Source organism: Homo sapiens, chromosome 1 (assembly GCF_000001405.40).
Source record: "Homo sapiens chromosome 1, GRCh38.p14 Primary Assembly".
In the NCBI taxonomy this organism is placed as follows: domain Eukaryota; kingdom Metazoa; phylum Chordata; class Mammalia; order Primates; family Hominidae; genus Homo; species Homo sapiens.
In genome coordinates, this window is record NC_000001.11 from 33,903,532 (window position 1) to 33,925,541 (window position 22,010).

At 46.0% G+C, this 22,010-nt stretch overlaps 1 protein-coding gene across 12 annotated transcripts in view; it reads right to left on the reverse strand.

The window, feature by feature from the left end:
- CSMD2 (CUB and Sushi multiple domains 2) overlaps positions 1-22,010 on the reverse strand; it is a 651,845-nt gene that overhangs the window by 389,534 nt on the left and 240,301 nt on the right. For all 12 annotated transcript variants that reach the window (XM_047443685.1, XM_047443656.1, NM_052896.5 and 9 more), the window contains exon 5: positions 14,563-14,770. In XM_047443685.1, coding sequence (XP_047299641.1) covers positions 14,563-14,770 — 208 coding nt within the window. The remainder of the gene's footprint in view (positions 1-14,562; positions 14,771-22,010) is intronic.

Sequence of the window (22,010 nt, forward strand, 5' to 3'; positions counted from 1 at the left end):
GGCTCCATGTTAACCTTTGCAATTAGCCACAGGACATTGTAACTGGCAAGGCAGAAGCAGATCTCTCCTCCAAACAAACCAACCTTGGATACCTACTAAGTGCCAAGATGCACATTAGGGGCTTGTCACGGTTCTGCTGGCAATGGCAGGGGAGGGGAAGGGCACAGAAGAAAAAGAAATACGTAAGTAAGCAAGAAAATATCAGGTATTGATGAATGTTTAAAATAAAACAAGATCCTCTGATAGACAGCAAGGGTTACTTTAGGCTGCATGGACGGGAAAGTCTTTTCTAAAGATAGGAAATTTACATTGAACTCTATATTTCAAAAAAACAGTGGTTTTTGTTTTTTGTTTTTTTAACTTGGAAGGAAGATTTGAAGACTGTGAAGGAGGAGGATCCTAAGCCCTGGGAACAGCTAGTGCAGAAGCCCGAGCAGGGAACCTGCTTAGCCCACCCTAGGGACAGGATGAAGAGCACAGAGAATGGGTGTGAGTGAGGGATAGGAGGGAAGTCAGACAGGTAGGCAGTGGCTGGACAATGTAGGGTCTTGTAGGATTTTATTCTAAATGTGATAGTAAGCCATTGGGAGGCTTTAAACAGGGGAGACATGATTTGATTAATAAACCCAAGTCACTCTAGGTGCCATCTGCAGAATGGATTACAGAGGGGTAGAAGCAGGGAGACAAGGCCCCCGAGCAGCCCAAAGGTGCTGGCGGAACCAAATGGGCAGAAGCAGCTTCCTCTTAGGAAAACAGATGTGGGAGGTCGTGGAGAAGGCTAAGAGAACAGATTATGAGTGGGGAGGGGATGAGAAGTCCAAACTGGATGGAAACAACCCAAATGTCCATCAACAGATCAATGGATAAACAAAATGTGGTTTAGACATACAAGGGAATATTATTCAGCCTTAAAAAGAAATGACGGCCCATCTCCTTGTCGCTACTGTTCCATTTTCTGCCTATGAATCTGACTATTCTGGGTATTCTTCTTTAATGGGCATGGAGTTCCATTTGGGAAGGCAAAAAAGGTACTAGAGATAGATAGTGGTGTTATCCACCACTAAATAGCCAATGTGCTTAATGCTACTAAGTTGTACACCTAAAAATGGAATGATAGGTTTTTTTGTTTGTTTTGTTTTGTTTTGTTTTTTGAGATGGAGTCTTGCTCTGCCGCCCAGGCTGGAGTGCAGTGGCACGATCTCACTGCAAGCTCCACCTCCTGGGTTCATGCCATTCTCCTGAGTAGCTAGGACTACAGTCGCCCACCACCATACCCAGCTAATATTTTGTATTTTTAATAGACATGGGGTTTCACCGTGTTAGCCAGGATGGTCTCAATCTCCTGACCTCATCATCTGCCCGCCTCGGCCTCCCAAAGTGCTGGGATTACAGGCATGAGCCACCGTGTCCAGCCGATAGGTTTTATGTTATATATATTTTTCCGTTTTTTTTTTTAAGAGACAGGGTCTCCCTATGTTGCTCAAGCTGGTCTTGAACTCCTGAGCTCAAGCAGTCCTCCCACCTCAGTCTCCTAAGTAGCTGAAACTAGAGGCACATGCCACTGTGCCCAGCGATATGTTCATTTTAAGATTCCTGTTAATATGCATGAAGCCCAGAAGACCCTTGAGGACTGAAAATTTAAATCAAGAGCCACTGGCATCTAGATGATATTGAAAGCCCATGTGTGATTTGTTGGGGCTAGCTGGGAAAGAGAATAAAAGAGAGGAGAGTCCCAGGACCCTCTGGGTAGTCCAAGCATAAAGGCTGGACAGAGAGTGGACGTTGGAAGAAACAGCAAAACAGACTAAGAAGGAATGGCCATAGGGTAACCAGCTACATGGTTTCATAGGAGCCAAGAGAAGGAAATAGTTCAAGAAGGACTGGTGATCAGTGTCATGTGTTGCCAAGAGGCTGAGTCAGATGAAGATGGAGAAACGACACTGGAATGGGCAACCTGGAGGTTGCTGTCAATTTTAGCAAGGTCAGTTTTAGTGACAAAGCAGGGCAGAAACTGAGAAAGAACTGTCTCAGCAATTGGCAGTGGCTGAGCCATTCCGTGGTAGCTGAGTGGGATGGAGTAATAGGGGTTTGATGGGTGCTGTTTTTATTTTGATTTTAGGTGGCAGATATTGGAACATGCCTTTATGGTGTTAGAAGTGCTCAATAGAGAGAACAATTGTGGAATGCAAGGAAAAGGAGATACATATAGTAGGGAAATTTTGGAGGAAGATGAGCTCTGGAGTACAGGAGAGGGCTGGCCTTTGACAGGAACCACGGCATCTTGTCTACAGAAGCATGAGGTGTGGCAGAGAACTCGGCTCACCAAGCATCTCATCTGCTCATCCCCGTTTCCTGGCTCCCTTGCAGCAAAGCTGGACTGTGTGACTGTTTGTGGCCAATGAAATATGAGTTGGAAATTATGTATAGCATATCTGAGCTAGAGTGGTGGAAAGCCATGCTGGATTCTCCACTCATTTTCCCTGTCATGGTATTAAAGAAGGCCACATATTTCAGATGGTGTGGTTAGAATATGGTGCAACCCCCTCGAGCCTGGGTACCCACATGTGTGATGATGTGGATCAGAGCCACTCCCACTGGTCCATCACAAATCTGTAACATGAGCAAGAAGGAAATCTTTGTGGTGTTATACCACTGAGTTTTAGGGTTAATAAAATTTAAAAAAGGAAGTGGCAAGATGTGAGCCTGGGGTGGTTACTTAGGCAAGGGTTAGATCCAGATGGGCCTTGTGTGCCCTATCAAGGGATTGAATTTTAATCTGTAGACAACAGAAGATGATTGAAAGCTTTTGCCTGGGGCTTAGCATGTCAGATCTGCATTTTAATTAAGCCATTCTCGTAGCAGTGAGGAGGATGAATTGGACAGTGCCAAGATGCTGGGAGATCAGTAAGGAGGCTATTACATCCCTCAAAGAAGAAAAGATGATGGGCTGAATTCAGGCAGTGGTAGAAAGGATGGAAAGGTACAGTATATTGGGAGAACTTAGCAATTAATTGAATGTGGCTGGTGAGAGAGAGGGATTAAATAGGGATATTCCCAGATTTCTGGATAACTAGGTGGGGAATGGTACCATAAACTAGGAAAGGACACAGACTGATGATTTTATGGGTCAATTATGAGCAAAATTGAGACAAGTTAAGTTGGAGATATTGGTGGTCCATCAAAGTGGAGATGTCCATCAGGTAGCTGGCTCTACAGTTTGACTGGCTCAGTGGGTAGGCTGGGCTAGGGAGCCATATTTGGGAGGAAATAGGTAGTACCTGAAATCTTGAGAGCAGGTAAGACTACCCTGGGAGATGTGTGGAGTGAGCAGAGCAGTACAGCAAGAAGGAATGGACATCAAAGGAGACACGGAAGGAATGGCCAGAGAGATCCAAGAAGAATCAGAAAGAGTGGCATGGAGGCAAGCAGAAAGCAGAGCCCCCAGAGGAGAAAATGACTGACAGTGTAAAGTAATGCAGAAATGTCCAGAAGGTGAGACCTGAAAAACGCCTTCTGGCATTGGTAATTGGAAGTGGTAGTCTTTGGAATGGGGTAGGGGTGGGGTTGGTTATTTGATGATTATCTTTTTTTTTTTTTTTTTTTTTGAGACGGAGTCTGGCTCTGTCGCCCAGGCTGGAGTGCAGTGGCGTGAACTCGGCTCACTGCAAACTCTGCCTCCTGGCTTTGCGCCATTCTCCTGCCTCAGCCTCCCGAGTAGCTGGGACCACAGGCGTCTGCCACCACGCCCAGCTAATTTTTTTTTTTTTTTGTATTTTTAGTAGAGACGGGGTTTCACCCTGTTAGCCAGGATGGTCTCGATCTCCTGACCTCGTGATCCGCCCACCTCGGCCTCCCAAGGTGCTGGGATTACAGGTGAGAGCCACCACACCCGGCCCTTTGATCATCATCTTAATGTGAGTGATTTCAGGAGGAGGCTGGAGGGTTGAAGAGTGGGAGTGAAGTAGGTAAGGAATGAATGGGGAGAGAAGACTTGAGGGTAGCCAGTGTAGACCACTCTTCAAGAAGCTTGGGTGAGAAATTCCCAGGGATGCTAGAGATCTACCTCGTCCATGAAGCCACCTCATTTTGTTCAAAGAAACTCTGCCTTCTCCCTCCCCAAATGACCCAAACTGTTGAGATCCACCATATGTGAATTTGAACTGTTGAGTTTCACCATATGTGAAATGGTGATTTTGCCATTTCATCGGACTGTCATTGCTAGTTTTTTGTGTGAATCCTGCCTCTCTGGTGAGTCTGTGGATGTCACCCATCAGCCACTGGATAAAGAGAAACTAGGATGAAAAGAAGTACAGACTGGGCTGGGCGTGGTGGCTCACCTGAGGTCAGGAGTTTGAGACCAACCTGACCAATATGGTGAAACACCATCTCTCCTAAAAATACAAAAATTAGCTGGGCATGGTGGCATGTGCCTGTAGTCCTAGCTATTCGGGAGGCCGAGACAAGAGAATCACTTGAACCTGGGAGGTGGAGGCTGCAGTGAGCGAGATTGTGACATTGCACTCCAGCCTGGCTGACAGAGCAAGACTCCATCTCAAAAAAAAAAAAAAAAAAAAAAGAAAAGTAAAAAAGAAAAAAGTACAGACTAAGGGATAGAACTGAAGACTTAAGTCAGTCTTGGGAACCTGGGAAGTGGTTGCAGTAGCAGGAGAGACGCAAACCAACGTGAAACAACATGTAGGTTAAGCTGAGAGTGAGTGGAACAAACATTCATGGCCAAACATGAAAACAGAGACCAGGAGGGGGCCTTGAACATTCAGAATGAAGCAACATCATTCCAGAAGACAGGTCTTGCCAGAACAAGGGGCTCTGGAGGACCCAGAACAACTCCTTCCATCTGTCTTAGCGGCACCATCAGGCATCTGGCAGCTCCTCAAGAGAGGTCGAGGACAGCATTTTGTTCTCTGGTGCCCTTCACAGTCCTGGCACAGGCCGCCTCGCAGATGAGGCACTTAGTACAAACCTGTTGCATGCAGTCAGACCCATGGGGGGCAGGCCAGCTGCCCGACCTCAGCTTCCCATGCACAGAACTTTGCCAAGTCACAAGCTTTAGCAGAGCCGCTGTGCCCACTGCGACAACACCAGTTCACTTCCTGCTCCTCCCAGCTGTGACTTTTGTTCTCTTTTTGAGAGCAAGTTCTCACTAGTGGAAGCAAGGAAGTCACATTGATACTCCATGTAGAGTGCTGGAGCCCTGGCCTTCACTCCTCCGGACACATTTGTGCCAGCAGCATGCTAAGGCACTAATCTTTTCTTACTGCTCCGCGGCAGAGCTTGTAATGCTATTTCCAACTCCAAGAGATACAGGAGACGAGATTTTAAAGGGCTGGTTATTTATGGCTTGGCTCCTGATGGATACAGCAGATGCAATTTCATGGGCTCCATCAAAAAAGGACAGTTACTTAGTGTGACTTAAAGAGTTGTGATGTGTCAAGGAAGGAGAGAGAAGCAAAGGCGTCACAAGCCCACAGGAAGGCAGGAGGTCTGAGGCTCGGTTAGAATGGGCCTTATTCGCTTACCAGCTCAGCCAACATGGGTTCAGCATCCTTAGTCATGCACCATCTGAGCTGTTTTCTGAGTGTCTCTGCTAGCTTGAGACCTTGACTCTGCCTTGCTCCTGACATTCAAAGAGGAAACCTCAGAGGACAGGTACCAGGCCTATGCTACCTCCATGTACGAAGTTCAGGAGCAAATAGGACATTGAGATGATAAGCCTTTACATGTGCAGCTCCCTCTGCCTGGAAAGCTGCCACCTGAGTTCTTCCCCTGTGGCTCCTTCTCAAAAGTCAGGTCTCAGCTTAAATCCTACCCTCCTCAGAGAGGTCAGATTTAGAATAGGGTCCCCACTGCTGTTATTCCCCATCCTGTTCATTTCCTTTATGACATGTGTCATACTTTCTACATTTATGTTTGAATATTTTACTAACTTCAGTCTCCCCCAAATAGACCGTAAGTTCCACAAAGGCAGAGGCCTTGTCTTCTCCACCATTGCATTCCCAGTGCCAAGTTCAATGTCAAGCAGGAGAAGGGCCTGAGTAGTTTGTTTGAATGATTGAATGATGATGGAGAGATGCTGGTAATGAAGATGAAATGGTAAGATGACAGTGACCATAATGAAGGAGATTTTCCCTATGAAAGACGATGCTGGTGCTCATTGTGAAGATGACCGCTCATGGTCCTGCCAGGGTATTGAACACCAAGCTTTCAGGTGTAGCTGTTGATTTTATCTGACCACCTTCACCAGTCTTATCCCAATGACTGTGAATTCGTAACCAAGGGCAGCTGTGTCCCAGCACATCCAGCCTTATCTTCTTCCTTCTTGCAGCCTTGACTTCCCTATTGGTGCTCATTTTGTGCTGGAGAGACCAATGGGCATTGCCATTCCCCACTCCACCCCAGCCCACTTCTTCTCCTGTGTTCCTCTCTTCAATACATGGCCCCACCATAGTCATTCAGCCAGAACTTGATAATCATCAGCCCCTCCTCCTCTCTACCCCTTCATAGCTGCCTCAGTTCAAGGCTGGATTCTCTTGCCTGCAGAGTCACAAAAAAAGTTTTATAGCTGATTTCTGGGCCTTCCTGTTTAACCCACTTAAAATTCAGAATGATTATTTTACTTCCCTGCTTAAAGTCTCTTAATAGCTTTCCACAGCTTATGGAATCCTCTCTGGCTTATGAACAAGGGGCAGGGTTCTTGCTCCTGGTCCATGCTCCTCCTGTGTTCATTTTGGGCCTCATATCCTGCACTTCCTCTCTTGCTCCCTGCACCTGACTTGCAATGCCCCAAATGCACCAGGGCTCTTTTCGGCTCCATGCCAATGGCAAAATCTTACCCCTCAGTTCAACTCAAAAATCATCCTGTGGGACTAATTTTTCCGAGCCCTTCCAGCATCACCGCCCTCTTACAGGAAGGTTGATGACTTGTTTCAAGGACAGTCTTAGTTTTTGTCTTGCCAGGGCTTCCACTCCCAGCCTGAGTTTTGGGGAGGGCAGACAGTCACATGATCTGGATCCAGCCAATGAGGACATCCCTTGGCTACACTGGTATTGAGGGGTGGGCACATGACTCAGGCTGGTCCACCAAGGTTTATCCGAGGGCTTTTGTAGGACCCATTAGGAAAGATATGCTCCCTTTCTGCTGGGATTGCCAAGAGAGGTAGGTTATAGGGAGCTGAGGGTGGTCCCCTTTGCCACCTCTTGGGAAAGCCTGCCTGAGAATGAAACTAACACACAAGAGAGCAAAGCCTTGGGATGGGGAGAAACATTATTTGCATACCTTGATCCAGCACTGCCTGAAGTCAAGTTCTGGACTTTTCAGTTAAAGAGGCCAGCACATTCCCTTTGTAGCGTGAGTTAGCTGGAGGTGGGTTTCTATTTCTTAAACCCAAAGAATCCTGGCTATTACATTTCTCCTTATTTCCTAGGGGAACTTCTTTATACCTCTTAGAAAAGCACCTAACACATGATATTGCAAAGCATTTAATTATATTCTGCCTCTTTGCCCCGACTGTGAGCTTCAGGGTCCAGCACAGTGCTTGGCTATTACATAAACATTTGTGGAAGGAATAAATAACTCCTTAGGAACCCAGACTGTGGCTTTGTCCCTCTAGCACCTAGGAGAGCCTCGTTCATAGAAGAGTCTCAATAAATGATTACAGAAAATAAATAGGGGAAAAGTAACAAAGAACATGAATGAGCTAAACCAATGGTTTGATAAAGCATATGTGAATAAATAAATAAGTGGATAGTTATTATTAACAAATCTCCATTGGCGTGCAATTCTCATTCTAACTATATCTGGATCTAATGGCTCTTAAATGAGATATCTAGTTAAACGTCACTGAGATCAAATGGTTCTAGTTGGCTCAAATTCCATGGGTAAAATGCCTAATAATTAAAGCAAGATCATTCAAGAGGAGAAAGAGTGTTGCTAGCAAAATTTTCAAAGTGAACGTCTGCAGAGTAGACAGTTTTTGTATCGCCACCTACAAAAACAAAAGCAAATGAATGAAGGGAATGAAGTGAAGCAAATCCGTCAAAGCTCTAAGGACATGAAAAGGAGGGATGAAATTAAGGAAATTTAATGTTGAAACTCAAAAGGGTTACTTGCTGGACCTAGAGAGTAGGTTGAGCCTGCTTCCCAGGGAAATTCTCTTTCCAAAAACAGCCAAAGTCTACCCAGTGGCCACAGGGCCAGGATCTGGGAAGTCCAGACAGATAGAGCAGGCATCCTATTCTTCTGCAGGTGGAGGGAGATGCCTAGGCTCAAAGGTAGATGCCAGAGCCCCGGGGTGGGTGCATGCTGGACAGCATCTTCCTTAGAGAATTTCTGGGACTATTTCTTCTTGGACTGTGTCCCAGGGATCAAGGAACTCCCACACTTTGGCCAGGAGGACTAGGCAGAAGCCCTAGAAGAATGCGCTTCCCACCACCTCATCTCCTATATTAAAATGGTATGCATCCTTCTCGACCTGTCTCAAGTGCAGCCTCTGCCTTGAGGCCTTGGTCTCCTGCCCCAGGACAGTGTCCTCCTCTGAGCCCTGGAAGGTGCTCTCCTTTCTCTTCCTACTTTGAATGTTTGGTGGAGTTTATTAGCACACAGTTTTGTGGGGACTGGGCCTGGGAGTGTGGGGACATAGAGAATGGGCAGGCAGAGCCCATCCAGGGTGATCCGAGTGAAATAGATAAAAAAAGAAAATCAATATACAGTGGCCAGGGCAAGGAAGAGAGACTGGGAACCACTGGCCAAAACTAACCCACAGAGTCACAGCCAAGGAAATTGGAGGGGCAGAGGTTTGTTCCAGGATCTACACAGAAATCCCACGGGTGGAAAGGAGCTTTGGACGACCCCCGCATCATACACCCCCCCACACACACTCCTGAGGCTGGCACTTCCACTGGCCCCCAAGACAAGAGTGGCTTCAATTCTGAGTGCAGGTCAGACTCTGTCTGCCTTCCCTGTTGTAGGAAGAATTTGCCCCTTGGGGAGGGGTAGAGGAAAGAAGGAGAGAAGAAGGCCCAATAGAACCCTCCAACCACATGGTCCAGAGAGAGCGAGGGGGCACAAGCAGAGATGCCCCTCCCATCTCTGGTAGTTGTCTCCTGAATGCCTTCTCCATACTTATGGTCCCTGCCCCCCTACTCTGTGAGCACCCCAGTACAGGGGCTGTGCCTGACTCACTGTGGAGTACCTCTGCTTTCCTAGTCCTGCACAGAGCTCTTAGTGGTAGCTGAATTGGTAGAATCCTCTTCTGCTTTTCTTTTTCTTTTTGCTTTTTAGACAGAGTCTTTCTTACTCTGTCTCCCGGGCTGGAGTACAGTGGCACAATCTCAGCTCACTGCAGCCTCTACCTCCAGGGCTCAGGTGATCCTCCCACCTCAGCCTCCTGAGTAGCAGCGACTACAGGTGTGTGCCACCACATCCGTCTAATTTTTGTATTTTTTGTAGAGACAGGTGTCTCCATGTTGCCCAGGCTCATCTTGAACTCCTAGACTCAAGTGATCCACCCACCTCAGCCTCCCAAAGTCTTGGGATTACAGGTGTGAGTCACTGCATCCGGCCCTCTTCTGCTTAACAAAGCAGCTAACTGGCCAGTGTGGGGCTAGATCCAGGAACAGAAGTGATGCTATCCATAATGTGCTTGCCAAGTGCAGCTCTGGGAAGATAGTTCCAACAAAATCACTGTCCCCTCTTCTAACTTTTGCAAGGACATCCTCCAGTCTCACCCAGAGACTCTCCCCACACTAACCTTATCTGAGTTTCCAGGCAATTCCCCTTGAGGCTAGATAGAGTCAGGGCAGCCAGGCTGTGCCTTTCTGCTGGTGAGATGCCACTGGGCTGGAAAGCTCATATGTTGGCTTCAGTGGGACCACCAAAAATAGGGCCAACGAGGCTCTGAATTGCTGGGGTTGCTCCATCTTACTCTTTTCCTCTCAAAGCCTCATTCCAGGAGTATTGTACTTATGGTGAGCCAGGCAGCAGTTGCCACGTTTCACCCTCTCAAAGTGTTTTGTAGGTTGGTATACTGAGACCCATTTTTCAGATGTGGAAACAGGCTCAGAAAAGCTGGTAAATATCCTAAGATGACACAACTACTGAGAGGTGGCTGGTTTTGAGCCCAAGTGTCTCTGCTGACTCCCAAGCCTACCCCCTTCCCAGTTCGATGCCATGGTGCAGGCTCGATATCTAATTCCAGAGAAACTGCACAAACTTCCTCTCCTATATTCTAGGAGAGGATGTCTGGCTTTCCCTCCTCTCTTTTAATCTGGGGATGGTTCTGGAGAGACTCAGATGGAGAGTGTTGGGTATGAGACAGAGGAAAGAGGAGACAGATTCTGGATCTAGTGGCTTCTCAGGGGGCTTCACTTTGCTGATTTTCTCAACCAATGGAGAGGTCAGTTCTGTGATGGGCTGGAGATCACTTCTACTCAGTATAACGTGATCCTGATATCCTTCAGGGACCTACATCCCCATATTGTTAAAAGGGTCTTCTGTATCCCCAGTCCCAGTCCTTTGAAAAAGTCCTGGGGCTTCATGAGGAAGCTTATCAAAGGTGAGAGTGTTTTCTTAGAACGTGATGGAAAGGAATGGAGCTCCATGATGGTCAGAGCCAAGTGACTGGGTCAGAGCAGAGCAGAGAAAGAAAACCCACCACCCCCACACTCCAGCAGGGTCAGTGAGAGAAAGTCTGGCTCCTACATTGAACTGGAAATGGAACTGTGTGTAAGGGGGGACAGGTGTGTACATGTGCTTAAGGTGGTCTGGGGGTGAGGGATGACTTGGTGATGTGAATTTGGCAGTGACTTGGAAAGGTATGTGTCAGAGACGATTTGGCAGTGTGTGTGTGTGTGTGTGTGTGTGTTTGTGTGTATGTTGGGTGAGGGCTGCACACATGTATGTGTAGTCAGGGTGTAATACCAATTCTTCTCTGTGGGTTGTAACCCTCAGTCAGTCCAAGCCCAGCTTTTGCTCATGGTCACACACACAAAAATGCAATTAACTTTTAGGGGGAGTAAGTCTAAAATACTAGGGAATAGCTCAACATGTCAGAGCTACAGGGTTCAGTGCTCACCACAGTAACAGCTTTTTCCTGTTCAAAACATGTATTGTTGGATTCCCAAAGGCTGGACCGGGACCAGCAAAACAGGGAGAACTGGCCCACTGATTGCTGCATGTATACTGTTGGCCACTCCAGTGATGGGCACATACTGTTATTTATGTGTGCTCCCCGCACCTTATCTTTCATGATGTCAGGACAACACTTCCAATTGATTATTTCCTGCCACAGTTTTGGCTTTGAATTGTCCTTTGTTTTATGAATAATATTCTGAGGAGTTGGCAGGTTTTCTTCTAACATCCTTACTTGGCAAAATAAAAAATGACCAATCCTATGTTTCTCCAATTGTTTGGAAATTTTACTAGTCCAGAAGCCCTAATTTGTTGCTATCCCGTTTAGGGGGAGGGGAAGAGTGTGGAAACTGAGTCAGGGACATTGCATGCCACTCTCCCTTCTGAATCAGTGGGAACTTGTTATCTGGTAAGGGAGGTAGTGGATTTTTTTTTTCTCTCAAAGGAATTCTTGTCTTCTTGATAGGTGAAGGGGGTGCCCAGTTGTCCAAATCCATCTTTGCTAACAGGATCTGTTGTTTTTCTATGCCTTGGCACAGAATGCAAGAGAACATCCTGAAATCTTAATGTATGCTTACAAAAGCAGTATACTCATAAACCAGCAGCATCAAATTTTTACAGGAATCCAGGGATCCATAAAGGAGAGGGGCAAGGGAGAGAGCTGATTCTTCCCACACATACGTCCTGAGTCTCCAAGTTTGTTTATCCATAATTGCTATGCAAGTATAAATTAGAACAACAAATGCATCCATCCTGGCAGTGGTGACACCAACCCTGTAAATAATTATAATGTAATCTTATAGCAAAGAGTTCTGAGTGACTCCCCTAATAATTTCCTCTGCTTAATTCCTTCCCCACTGAGTGACTTAATAGGAAAAGGAACTCTTTCAGATTTGTTTCACTCCAAAAGTTTGGACAACGTGTAGACTCACACCTGGAGGGCAGAAGCTGTAGGAGACCATTTGGCCCATGGATAAACAAGTGAGTCGAAAAGGCCTTGGGACTGGAAGACAGGGAACTGGCAAGGGTATTCGTCTTGGCACCTGTTTATAGAAGTGAAAACTTGGGAACCACCTAACAAGAGGTCTGATGAGTAAACTATGCTACAGTCTTACAAGGGAATGCTACATAGCCCGGAAAACTCATCACAGATATCGCATGTCATAATAGCATGCTGTCATGGCTTGGAAGACAGCCTTTAGTATCAGATTAACCTGGGGTTGAATCCCAGCTCTGCTCCTTACTCGCCGGTGTGATCTCAAGCAGGTAGTATAACCTCTCTGGGCCTCATTTTCCTCTTCTGTAAAAGGAGGAAAACTATGCTACTTACTTCATATAATTTTTATGAAGATGAAATGAAATTATAGCTCTAAAGAGCTTATAACCTGTCTGGCACATATTGGTAGTAAAGGGTCAACAAATGATATTATTATCAGACCTTGTATATTTTGGAGGCATCTGTGATGGTACAGGAAAACATTTCATGACACAATAATTAGCTAAAAATATATAACTACAGATATTTTTAGATCCTAATTTGGTCATATTAAATATATATAAATAGCCAGCTAGCTTAATCTAGGCCAAGAAAAAAGGTCAAAGGGGAGTACATCAAAATTGTAATAATTTTAATTTTTCCATACCTTTGTAGATTTTCCATGTTTTCTACAAGGAGCATATGCATTACACTTACAGTCAGTAAACAGGTATTTTACAAAAGAGGCAGAGGTCCAAGGGTCTTCACACTGCGCAGATCATCAGGATTCCAGTTGAGTGAAGACTCACCTTAACCTTCAACCCAACTCCTAGCTTAAAATCACCAGCTTTTCCTCTTGGACTAGTTTATAGAATGTCATCCTCCACAGAGCAGGTTGTCCTCACTCACCTGTGCTTCTCTCAGCCCTCTGACCAGGGTAGGAAATGACCTGGCCAGCTTCCTGTGAGAAGCTCATGGTGACACCAGGGTCTTCTGACTCCCATGTCGGCTCACCTTCCACTGCACCAGGAAACTTGAGTTTTCTGCTTATGCTAGTTCCCAAATCTGAGCCTATACTTGGGAAGAATCCATTCCCCCTTTATCCCTCTTAAATATTTAATAGTCACACTTGGCTCCTACCATGGGTTTGTCTGATTTTCTTACCTAACAGATAGATAGACAATGAGCTCCTTAAAAAACCATGTCTCACTCAACTGGTGTTCCTACCGCCATGAAACCTGGCACAGGGAAGGTGTGCAATAAACGTGCCCCATTCCCCTCCTTTTCTCCTCTCCTTCCCATCTTCCTCCTCCCTACTCCCACTGACTGCCACGTCTCTGTCTTCTCTGACTCTTGCAGACACCCACTTTCTGCTCCGCTCAGAATCCTCAGTGACACCTCCTCCCACCCCTATGCCCTCCGTCCATCCACTCCTGGAGCACAGCCCCGCCAGACCTGGCCGGGCCCAGCCCCGCACCCAGGGCCTCCACCAGAACGCTATTCCCACTGCGGCACCCCCTGGTAGCCAACGCCGTGACTCCTGCCTGACATCAGGAAGTGGAATCCCCACCTTCACCTGACACTATGCAGCAACTAAGGCTCCAACGATGCCCCATCCTTGCTTGAAGTACACCTGGACATATCCTTCTATTGGCTCCTCATGTGCTAACAAAAGTCCTCCTGATAACACAGCCACAATGAGAATACAAGAGAGTGTTCCAAATGCCACAATACCACTTGTGATGCTTCTCACCCAAACAGAAAGCCAGATACTTCCTCAAGCCATCCTCAATTTGAGCACATCCTGCAAGCCCAAGTCTGGGATAAGCAACGATGGCTTCAATAACTCATATCCTCCCTAACCCATCAACAACTGAGACTCTCCATGAAGCACACTACAGAAGAGCCTGCACTTTTTTAGCAAAGCCAGAACAAGAGGGAGAAAGTAAGTCCTACCCTTCAGACACTGGGACATAATGCCTTTCTGATGTATCAGGACCCTTGGAGTGGGAAGAATTAAGACTAAAAATGTTCTAGTCTCAGCAATGGTCACTTATGGTTCTAGTCCCTTTTTGGATGCTATGCATATGTCTTCCAGAAATGGAACAATATTTTGAATCATTTTACTAGACCCTGTCCACATCCTGAGACCAGAACATTTTTAGTCTTAATGCAAGTTATTCAACCAAGACCCATCATAAAAATCTTCAGCAAGAACATGTTTCAAATCAGATATCAAAATCACTATAAAAATTACCCCAGCTCTAAAAATATGCAGTGCTTTTTCATTAGGATGAGATGAAAGGACTCTAACAGTAGGTATAAGGAAGTGGCTAAGAGGCCTCTGGCTGCAGGTCCAGGCACTGAGGAGACTGCAAGCATCCCAGTAATTCACAGTTGCAGAGAATAGGGTAGGAAAGGAAGGTGATGTTGTGCTTACCAGAGGGAGGAGCCTTCTGTCCCAGTGACTTCCAGAAAGTCGTAACCATCCTCCAGCTGGAAGTCAATAAACACCAGGGCGATGGTGTCCCCCAGCTCAGCCAGGATGGTCCATGTGCAGTCGGCATTGTTATGGTACTCCGAGGGGAAGTGGGGGCTGGAGATGATGCCACTCTGGCCCCGCAGGGTCCCACCACAGGCATCATCAGCTGTGGGCACAGAGAGAAGAGGCTTACATGAGTAGTCTGGTTTTCAAGCCCTAGCACTCACCATGGGCTATACCTGCAATACATCCTTCTGTCTCCCAAGAGTACAATTCACAGTTTGTGGACATAGATAAAGCAGCAAATGACTTTGTTTGGACAAGTCCATCTGAGAAGCCTAACAGAGGAAGTGTCATTAGAGCTGGGTTTTGATGAATGAGTAGGAGTTCACTAGATGGAGAAGAGGGGGAAGGACATTTCAGGGAAGAAGGAACCAAATGGTCATAAGCAGAGACATATGAACGTGCAAGGCATGTCTAAGATAAACAGCTCTAGATGACTCATCACAGGGTAAAAAAGATGAATAATATAAGATAGTAATGGCATGTAGGAGAAGTCACATGGCAGAGAACACTGAGCCAAAAAGATTTGGAGACAGGGGAGTGCATTGGAAAGGAAATGGATTTTAGGGTAAGGAAGGTCTAGATTTGAATTTAGACTCCACAATTTCCCAGCCACCTGCATAACTTTGGGAAATTTATTTTTTTTAAGGCTCAGTTTGCTTCTCTGTTGTGATAACTGAATTAGATAGTTAATGTGACAGTAACTAGCATTAGCCAGTGACTGACATGTGGGTAGATGCTAATGCTAGATTCTCCTTTTTCCTTCTACTTCATCTTAAGGATCAAAGGCAGTGAAGAAATGTGATTAAACTTGCATTTTAGAAAGAACACTGGCTATGGTATAAAGGAGGTCTGAGTCAGGGAAGCGCATGGGATGCTCTTGGTATCACCAAAACCACCACAGTCCAGGTGAGGCTGGATGAGATCGAGCTAAGGTCGTGTGGAGGGTGGGAGAGGACTTATTTGAGAGATATTTAGGAAGCAGAATCTCCAGAATTCAGCAACTAGGAGGTATAAAATCCAGGTTGCTGGTATAAGCATCTGGATGGATGAAAGGTGCTATTTCCTGAGGCAGAAAACCCAGGAAGGGAGCTCCTTGTGGTATGGAAGGCAACCAGGAGTTCAGTTTTGGACACGCAGAAGTGGGTATGTCTGTGGGGCCTCCAATGGTGAGATCAGATTAACAGATATATAGGAGCCATCTGGGCTAGAGATAAAAGTGATCTTGTTTAGCAGCTCTGAACTATTCTTACTAATGTTCTTTACAGGGTCAAGAGAATCATGAGCCAACTCATAGCATTTCTCAATGCTAACTTCTAAGTTTCTATGAGTGCAGAAATGTAAGATATACACCTACTCTCCCAGAGTAGGTGCTTATGAAGGTTTCCCTCCTATACCCATTAACTGAGCACCTACTGTGGGCCAAATACTGGGTAGGGCCAGCACTACAATGTGAAAAGCTTGATTTCCTCTCTGCCTTCAAATGCTTCTGAGGGAGGAGGTGGGCAGGCAAGCCAGCAATGGCAACACAGAATAGTTATGATGGGGATGCTCAAGGCGCAGTGATAGCACATAGTTAGGAAGGGCTTTATGGAAGAGACAGAATTTGTGTTAATATATTCATTCACTTATTCATTCATTCATTTAACAAATGCTAACTGAGCACCTACTATGTGTCAGCCACTGTTCTAGGTGCTGGGGATTCAGCTGTGAATAAAACAAAAATTCCTATCCTCCCAGAGCTTACATTCTGGTCAGAAGGATAAAGACAACTCCAAGATAAATAATTAACTCTATAGTAAATGAGCTGGTAAGTGCAGAGGAAAATGGGCTATCTGGTGTTGGGAGTGGGGGTGTGGATATTTCAGAAAGGGTGGTCAGGGAAGACCCCACTGAGAAGTTGACATTTGAGCCAAGACTTGAAGGAATGAGAGAGGAAGACACATGGTTACCTGGGGGAAGAGCATTCACGGAAGATAGAGCAGCAAATGCAAAGGTCACCAGGGTGCAGAGGCCTGGCACCGTTGAAGAGCATCAAGAGACCCAAGGACTGGGCGCAGTGGCTCATGCCTGTAATCCCAGCAATTTGGGAGGCCGAGGTGGGCGGATCAACTGAGGTCAGGAGTTCAATACCAGCTTGGCCAACATGATGAAACCCTGTCTCTACTAAAAATACAAAAAAAAAAAAAAAAAGTTGGCTGGGTGTGGTGGCGCACATCTGTAGTCCCAGCTACCCGGGAGGCCAAGGCAGAAGAATCGCTTGAACCCAGGAGGTAGAGTTTGCAGTGAGCCGAGATTGTGCTATTGCACTCCAGCCAGGGCAATAAGAGCGACAATCTGTCTCAAAAAAAAAAAAAAAAAAAAAAAGAGACCCAAAGGGCTGGAATGCAGGAAGAAGGAGGAAAGTGGCAGGGGAGGCAGGGCTTCCGAGGGCCTGAGAGGCCGCTGTAAGGATGTGGACTTTTACTCGGAATGAGTTGAGAAGCCAGTGGAGGGTTCTGAGCTGAGGATGATATGATGTCATTTGTGTATTAACAGGATCCCTTGGGATGCCATGTAGACAGCAGACCAGAGAGGGCAAGGGAACAAGGTGGGGGCCTCTTGAAGCTACCCCAATAATCCAGTGAGAGGTGATGGTGGCTAAGACCAGGTGGTAACAGTGAGACATAGTCAGAGTCTGGCTTCATTTCCAACACTGAGCTGGCAGCATACATCAGCTGAGGGTGCCTGCCTGGTAGGCCTCAGGGGAGAGGGTGTTTTAGGCAGAAAAACAGCAAGGACAGTTCAAGTTGGGGAGTGTGGCATGTTTAGGGACTTATTAGGCAGGACCGTCTGAACTGAAAGGGACATGCAGAGATGACAGAGCTGGGCTGGACAGGAAGGCAAGAGCTGGACTGCGAAGGTCCTTGAATGCCGAGTAGAGGAGCTGAGGTTCTGTTCTCCTCCCCTCTTCCTCCTTTGCTACCCTCAACCCAGCTTCCCAGGCCCCAGAAAGCAGGAAGGGAGGGAAGGTAGGCAAGATTGGCCTTGCTTGGCTTTAAATCCAGTTCAGTGGTGCTGTTGATTTGTTTTATCAAGTTGCACAGTATTTCTGCCTTGAGTATCTCTCTGGCAGGAGGCTATGATGTCTGACATCTGAGGCAGAGTTTGTCGCCTTCTGATGTAAATAAATTCACCATGAACATTACCAGGGAGATAAGCCACAGGAGCCAGCCAACAAGTGGGAGATTTGCCAATATTGTTCCGAGCAAGCACCGGGCCCACTGGTCCCCAACAGTCCTGTCACTGGCCCTCACTACACCAGGTGGAACTGTCTTCGCCCTGGGCACAATGGCTGAGTCTTGACTGTACTGGGGAAAGGGATCATGGTGAAGAAAGGGACATTTAGCCCGAACCTTCAAAAAAGCACAGGAGTGTGCTGGAAGGGGAAGAAATAGAGGGGTTCCAGGCAGAGCAAACAGGCCCTCAGAGGCAAGAAGGCCTGGAAGGGCATGCTGCTTGGGGGAAGGCCTTGACAGCACTGCCGAGGTGTTTGGACTTTCCTCTGCAGGTGCAGGGGAGTCATGGTAGGTGTGGAGAAGAGGGTTTTCAGCAGGAAGTACAAGTCCAGACCTATTTTAGAAAGATGATTTGGTCCCATAGTAATGGATGAAAGATATGGTTTGGTGGCCAGGGAAGGTTGCCGGTGGGGAGATCAGAGACAGAGAATGGAGAAGAGGTTTTCCCATCATCAAAGCTGCAACTAGGCAGGGAGGAAAGAGAAGCAGCAGGAAGGGATTTAGGAGGCAGACTGTGGAGGAATGAGAGGGTGAAGTCTCCAACAGAAAATGGATGGTGAAGGAGAGAGCAGAGACAGGGACGCTAGAGGAGACGCAGCTCTGCAGGAAGTGACGGCCCTTCCTCCCTGCTCTTCCCCACTCCCATGCTGAGTGTGAGATCCTGGGGAATAAACAGATGGGGATACCTATGGGCCTGGGATCCCAGAGACTGTGAGGCAGGGAATCAGCAGGACAGAGAGGGAAGCTCCCACCACAGGAGTGGAGAAGGCTGGGGACTGAACAGACCTGTATGGAGCAGGCAGAAGCAAAGATACCTGAAAGAAGAGAAGGTGGGAAGGGAGGGGCACTCAGGTGGAAAGTAAGCAGGGGCCAAAGAGAAACATTAGAGGGGGAGGGAGTGGCTCAGGAGCAGGCACAGCCACTCTGTGTGGCCAAGTCTCCAATCAGGCCCTTGGTCCACATAGTCTCATTTAATCTGGCCTGCACATCCAGGTGGACAACAAAGAATTCCAGAAGAAAAGCAGGTCTTGGGGGAAAGACAATGACTCCAGAGCCTTCTGCCTACTTCCAGTCTTAGAAACCCAACTAGATATTCCACATTGCTCTCAAACCCAACCCAACCAAAATCACTCTCATCCTTTCCTCCCAGAAGCCTAGCCTTCTTCCAGACTTTCCCATCTTGGAGGGTCAGCACTATTCACCCACTTCCTCATGGCAGAGGCTCAGGGGACATCCTCAACTCCTCCCACACCCCCACATCCAGCCAGGGACTCAGCTGGCAGTCCATCTAGGTGGCTGTCAATCCTGTCCCCCGCCATCACTGCCATTGCTGTACCCCAAGCCATGTCACACTCCAAGTTAACCACAGCCATGAAGCCCCCTCCTGGTCTCCAAGCCTCCTTCCTCCTCCAGCCCATCCATTCTTTTGGTTTTTCAGTTTTTTAAATTTTATTTTTAATTGACAATAATTGTATGTCCTTATGGAATACACTGTGATGTTTTGATATATGTATGTATTGTGGAATGACTAAATCAAGCTAATTAGCATATCAATCAACTCACATACTTTTTTTTTGCATTGAGAACTTTATCTTGGAGCACTCCCTTAAAAAATTTATTGTTATAAAATATTTGTACATTTTTATGGGGTATGCGTGTTATTTTTTGACATGCATAGTAGGTGATATAGTTTGAATGTCCCTCCCAAATCTCACGTTGAAATGTAATCTCCAATACTGGAGGTGGGGCCTGGTGGGAGGTGTGTGGGTCATGGGGATGGATGCCTCATGGCTTGGTGCTGTCCTTGTGACAGTGAGTGAGTCATCTCGAGAGCTGATTGTTTAAAATTGTGTGGCACCTCTCCCTCACTCCCTCTCTTGCTCTTGCTCTGGTCATGTGAAGTGCCTGCTCCCACTTCACCTTCCGCCATGAGTAAAAGCTCCCTGAGGCCTCCCCAGAAGCTGAGCAGATGCCAATGCCATGCCTCCTGTACAGCCTGTGGAACCATGAGTCAATTAAACCTCTTTTCTTGATAAATTACCTAGTCTCAGGCATTTCTCTACAGCAATACAAGAAAAGCCTAACACAGTAGGTGTAATGATCCATTCAGGGTATTTAGGGCATCCATCACCTCAAGAGTTTATCACTTTTATGTGTTGGGAACATTTCAAGTTCTCTCTCCTAGCTATTTTGAAATATACATTGTTGTTTTAACTATAGTCACCATAGTCTGCTATTGAACATTAGAATTTATTCGTCCTTCTACCTAACTCAGGGGTCCCCAACCCCTAGGCCATGGACCGGGACCTGTTAGAACCTGGGCTGCACAGCAGGAGGTGAGTGTTGAGCAAGTTATCTAATGCCTGATGATCTGAGGTGGAACAGTTTCATCCTGAAACCATCCCCCACCTCCTGTCCATGGAAACATTGTCTTCCATGAAATTGGTTCCTGGTGCCAAAAAAGGTTGGGGACCACTGACCTAACTGTGTATTTGTACCTGTTAACCAACCTCTCTTCATGCCCTACATCCTCCAATCCTGGACACACACAGCCTTCCCAGCCTCTGGTAACTATCAATCATTCTACTGTCAACCTCTATGAGATCCACTTTTTTAACTCCTCGTATGAGTGTTAGGTGATATTTGTCTTTCTCTGCCTGGTTTATTTTACTTAGCATAATGACCTCCAGTTCCACCCATGTTCCTGCAGATGACAGGATTTCACTCTTCTAAAAAAAAAAAATAGAGATGGAGTTGTGCTGGACATTGCCCAGGCTGGACTTGAACTCCTGGGCTCAAGAGATCCCTTGCCTCAGCCTCCCAAGTAACTGGGACTATGGGCGCATGCCACTGCACCTAGCTAATTTCATTTTTTAACATCTGAGTAGTATTCCACCATGTATGTGTATACCACATACACACATATATATTACATATACCATATTTTCTTTATACATTTATCTAATGGTGTGCACTTGTGTTGATTCCATATCTTTGCTGTTATGAATTGTGTTTCAGTAAACATGGGGTGCAGGTATCCCTTTGATACATTGATTTCCTTTCCTTTGGATAAATACTCAGTAGTGGAATTGCTTGATCATATGGTAGTTCTATTTTTAGTCTTTTGAGAAATCTCCATACTGTTTTCTATAATGGCTGTACTAATTTACATTCCCACCAACAAAGTATAAGAGCTCCCTTTTCTCCATATCTTTGCCAACATCTGTTGTTTTTTGCTTTTTTAATAATAGCCATTCTAACTAGGGTAAAATGATACCTCACTGTGATTTTGACTTGCACCTCCCTGATGATCAGAGATGTTGAACATTTTTTCATATACCTGTTTGCCATTTTAATGTCTTCTTTTGAAAAATGTCTATTCATGTCCTTAGCTCACTTTTTAATGGGATTGTTATTATTATTATTTTTTTGCTGTTGAGTTGTTTGAGTTACTTGTACATTCTGGACATTAGTCCCCTCTCAGATGAATAGCTTGCAAATATTTTCTCGTCTTTAACAGGTCGTCTTTTCACTTTGTTGATGGTTTCTTTTTCTGTGTAGAAGCTTTTTAGTTTAATATAGTCCCATTTGTCTATTTGTGTTTTTGTTGCCTGTGCTTTTGAGGTCTTAGCCATAAAATCTTTGCCTAGACCAATCTCCTGGAATAACTCCCCTAAGTTTTCTTCCAGTAGTTTTATAGTTTGGGGTCTTAAGTTTAGGTCTCTAATTCATTTTAAGTTGATTTTTGTATATGGTGAGAGATGGGTGTTTAGTTTCATTTTTCTGCATATGGTTATCCAGTTTTCCCAGCACTATTGAAGCAAGCGTCCTTCCCCTAATGCATGTTCTTGGTGCCTTTGCTGAAAATCAGTTGGCTGTAAGTATATGAATTTATTTCTGGACTCTCTATTCTGTTTCATTGGTCTGTGTCTGTTTTTATACTAATACCATCCTGTTTTGGTTATTATAGCCTTGTAATATATTTTGAAGCCAGGTAGAATGATGCTTCCAGCTTTGTTCTTTTTGCTCAAGATTGCTTTGGCTTTTCAGGCTTTTTTGTTGTTC